Here is a 4807-nt window from a genome sequence, read left to right as displayed (position 1 = left end):
ATAAAGCAAATTTTGATTCAGAAAGATAAATCTAATTACAATCACTATTCAATTTAAGGCCATTTTATATTGAAAATGCAGTGCCAAAAATGTACTAATTAGAACTAGTAAAAATTTAGTAATAATTCACTATATAAGACATATCAAATGGAGGGTTTCAACCTACTTTCTTAGTTGAATAAAATACATGTATTTATAGGTGTGTGTTTATCTTTGAGTATAGATAGATAAATTTGTCTTCATGCCGACATTTAGGTCATGGTGCCACTAAAGTATGTAACTGACCACATGGAACTTTGTCTTCTGACTGCTTGATTCTTGATCTGGTACAAAACCACTCTGAGGCCAAAGACATTGATAAGTGCCTAGCATTTTCCTCTCAAATATGTAATTACAAAGTATTTTAAATAAAAGAGAAAGAAGTGAAATCCTATCTGCTACAACAGTCAAGAGTGAAACTTCCCATTGGTTTAACACTTTAGTGCTTATAAAACTCTTCCATGTATATTTATTTCATCTTCATAATTGTATTGTGGGAAGGTGACATGATCATTACACACACACACACACACAAACACACACTGTGTGTCTCACTCTGTTGCCCAGGCTGTAGTGCAGTGGTGTGATCATAGTTCACCACAAGCACATGTTACCCACACCAGGCATATGTTTAGTTTTTTATAGAGAAGAGATCTTGTTATGTGGCTCACGTGGGTCTTGAACTCCTAGGCTCAGATGATCCTTCCCCCTTGTCCTCCCAAAGTACTGGGATTCCAAGTGTGAGCCACCACACTTGGCCCATTGTACATATTTCAAACTGAAGCCCAGTGAATTTTGGATTTAGCTAAAGCCAGTGATTGCTAAATAAAGACGTTGCCACTTGAATCTAGATCTTTTACCTTCTTTGAGTGAAGGGTTCTTTATGCCAGATCATGATGCCCAGCTTGCCTTTGACATTTGGAGGCATAAAATTATCCAAAATTCTACCTGGAAGGCAAAATTTTGGATTTATAATAAAATCAAATAGAGGCCAAAATATGAGGACTTCAGTGTCTATGAACCCATATACAGCTACATTTTAGTGCTGAAAAATCACCCATGAACTCCTATATGTATAATCCCATAGAACTACAAGTATCCCCTTTGTTTCTCCATTTTGGGAGTGTGTGAGAACCTCAGAACTACACTTTTGCTTCTAACTACTACATCATTACTCAGTTTCCTGTATAATTCTTGAAAAACCAGCTATTCTGGAGTTAGCACTCATAGTGTGTTCATACTTTTCAAATTTTTTTCCTTTTCAAAACTTTTATTCTTCTCAGTAATTTTTCATACCTGACAGTTGAGACAAAGCTAAGTGATGAAATAATGAGACAGTTCAACTTACTCATTGTCTTTATAATGAAATGAATGCAATGCAAAGGCATTGTGTGTGCCTGGTTTTTGTCCATTTATGATCTTTTCTCAGGGTTGATTATTCTTGAACTCTTTTTCATAATTTTCTTTAATATAGTCTCTGAAATTCTTTCAGTTCTTGAATTAGCTTTTATCCTTCAGTTCTTATGTTTAAACCTTTTTTTCATTATTTCTTAGCCTCTATTCACTAGAAGTCATTGACTATAAATAAATGCTTAGATTCCAATTTTTTAAAAGTACTTTGGAAAAATAAATAAGCTGATTCTCTAGGCAACTTATTTTGTATTTCAAACAAATTTACACTCCTTAGAAAATTGCCAGATGTAAGTTATATTGATTACAGAAAATGTAATACAAAATGCTTTTTTCTATCTTCAAAACAAACCAAGCAGAAAAATATTAAAGCATGAATTAAGTCAACTGGATAGATATTAAGACTTACTCTGATCTCACACGTTTTAGAAAGTAATCAAATTCAATACACTTCTAAATACTCTGCCATTCTGTGTCTAAAATGTATTTAAATAATTGTTGACACTATTGGTTGAAATTCACGTCTTATTTATCTTTCTAGAAATTTAAAAAATTTTATAACATAAAATACTTTGCTTACATCAATGATATGAATGTACAATTTAGAGAAAATATGAAAAATTATATTGTAAAAACACTGCTAATTGTGAAGATCAAAACATAATTTATTTGATTTTCAGCTTTCTTAGGCTAATAATCATACATTTCAAATAATTCTTCAAGATGAGAGCTCCCAGAGAAAAAAGAAACTTTATATTTTCTACAGATCTGGACTTAAAAAATGAAATAAATTATTTTTAAAAATAACAACGACAACAAAACCCTAGGAAACACTGTATTTCTTCTTCAGGAAATAAATTTGAGAAATTAAAAAACAACAAATCTAACAAAAATAGTTCATCACTTTCAAATAAGAGGCGATTTGGAAACTTCTAATGGGCCACGGACAGGTTTCTTTTCCTGTGTGCTGAATTTATATTTTAGCACAATTTCAATAAAAAGAGCAACACAATTAAGAAATGTTCCAGGAAATACCTCTTGCCATTTGACACAATACATGGCTGATTCTAGGATGCATGACTCCTCTCTGAAAGCATGGAGGGGACATATGTGGAAACACAGAGAGTATCAATCTGAGAGTACTTTTTGAAAGAATCCCGATTGTGAACCATTACCTCAGGTGTCATAAACACCCAAGGCTGCTTTGTTGAGCAAGAGGTGGAATATCTTCTGGGTACAGAAGCTGGGGCTTGGCTTGCTACAACTGGCTCATCAGGGTGGGGCCATAATAGTCAACCAAGGAAAACACTACGTCACATGGAAAATGCAAACATCAAGCCAGTTGTTGGCCAGAGTTCTGAACATCTTACTGAGAAAGAAATGTCCTGGCTCACTGTGGTGTGTACAGTGTGAATGAAAATGTTCAGCAAGGGAGCTAATTTGCATTGGCACTATGTCAGTTTCATATATTGGGGACAGAATTTTAAATATAGAGGCTACTCTATTCCTTTACTGGTTTGTTTACAGGATTAGGTATACAAAAGAATTCATTCATCCAGTAACTTTACCTGAGTTTGTGTAATGAAACCTTGAATCATCAAGTTTTTTTAAAATTAAACTTAACAAAACTTTCATTGAAAATGAAAATTAAGGCCAGGCGCAGTGGCTCACACCTGTAATCCCAGCATTTAGGGAGGCCAAGGTCACAAGTTTGAGACTAGCCTGGCAACATGGTGAAACCCTGTCTCTACTAAAAGTACAAAAATTAGCTGGGCGTGGTGGCAGGTGCCTGTAATACCAGCTACTCAGAAGGCTGAGGCAGAAGAATCACTTGAACCCAGGAGGTGGAGGTTGCTATGAGTTGAGACCGCACCAATGCACTCCAGAGCCTGGGCGACAGAACAAGGCTCTGTCACAAAAAAAAAAAAAAAAAAAAAAAAAAAACCAAAAAAAACCCAAAAAAAACTAAAAGTAGTAAAAAAAAACAAAAAAAAAACTTTAACAAAAATAAACCTTATAATTCAATTTTACAGAATCAATCATTACAAAGTAAATCTATAGGTTACAGAATAAAACAATGGCATTAGGTGACAATTTGAAGCTAGAATTGATGAAACTGCTGCCAGTGAGTACCCATCTATTTCACCGTGTCATTTTCCTACACTTCTGTACCCTTGAAGTGAAGATAAACTGTTAATTTACACTGTCAGGGTGAGGGATGCCCCCTCTGAAGACATTAGCTGTCAATTTAGGAACAAAAGGAGAGGCAGATTTGGGTTGTTTTATTTATTTATTTATTTATTTATTTATTTTTATGACTCAGCTTCCAAGTTTAACTCTTCCCTTTTGGCATAGTGAATTTGGGGTCCTGAGCTTTTCTTTTCCTTTCACAACAGTAAGGAAAAATTTTTTAAAGATAAAAGTGTGTCCTGAAATCAGACAAGTTTAGGTTTTCTTTTGGAAATGATTCTTTCACCATTTTTCATGTTTTATGATGAAAGTGAAGTTATTTTGGAAAAGAAATACATTATTTTTTGTATTCTTTGAAGTTCTCTGAACGTGTTTCTATATTTTTAAAGGCACCTGATCAAATTTCTCTAAGAGTTTGGCCCATAAGGAAAACAGATTAGTAGAAACCTTATGAAGCTGAAGGAAAACAAGTGAATTATTTATTATTCCACTTTTTCTAATTTCGTTGTATGTTCAGAACCACCACAATGCTTATCGTGTTATTATCAGAAGACTATACGTCATAAAACAGAAATGAAAGGACCGTTCTTATGAAAAACACTGAAGAAAGAGAAGAGGGACGTTAGAAAACATTGCCAAAGATGTGGGAGGGCCAGAAATATTACAAATACTAAAAACGGATGAGGAGAGAAGGTAACAGCATGGGCTTCTGCAGCTGTAGCGTTTAATGCTGGAAACTCCAGGCGCTCCGAAGCCCCACGGCTGAGCCTGTCTCAGCATGTTTCTCTTTTGAGTCTGTGTGCTGGCAAGGCATTTCCTCGGCTGGTTGCTATAGAAATAATTATACTACACAACTTTGAGAAGCAGAAGCAGACGGAAGTTACAGCAGAAACACTGTCATCTTGGTGTTGTTCTAATAGCCTTAGGATTCGAAAATGAGGCAAAATTAAAAACAAAAAGCACCATTATTTAAATTGAAAATTTAGAAATGTGGGTTATTGTTCAAGTATTCAAAGTCAGCACTACAGAACAGTTAAGTGAGTGTTCTTACACCGAAGTCCTCAGAGCCACTTGGCAAATGCTAGAGAAAACAGGAAGTAAGGACCTCTGTCAAGCAGAAGAATGTCTGATTTTAATCAGGAAATTGAGGATAAGTTTATTTTTGAAG

At 34.7% G+C, this 4807-nt stretch overlaps 1 annotated feature.

Moving 5' to 3' along the window:
- Window positions 4116-4535: an enhancer, noted in NCBI's record as "active region_28464". NCBI's record gives its function as "activates an Ori minimal core promoter by ATAC-STARR-seq in GM12878 lymphoblastoid cells {active_cell/tissue: GM12878}" and the evidence as "EXISTENCE:reporter gene assay evidence [ECO:0000049][PMID:35858748]".

This window comes from Homo sapiens, chromosome 9, assembly GCF_000001405.40.
Source record: "Homo sapiens chromosome 9, GRCh38.p14 Primary Assembly".
Lineage (NCBI taxonomy): Eukaryota > Metazoa > Chordata > Mammalia > Primates > Hominidae > Homo > Homo sapiens.
The sequence above is the reverse complement of the archived record's forward strand: the minus strand, read 5'-3'. Positions and strand labels throughout refer to the sequence as shown.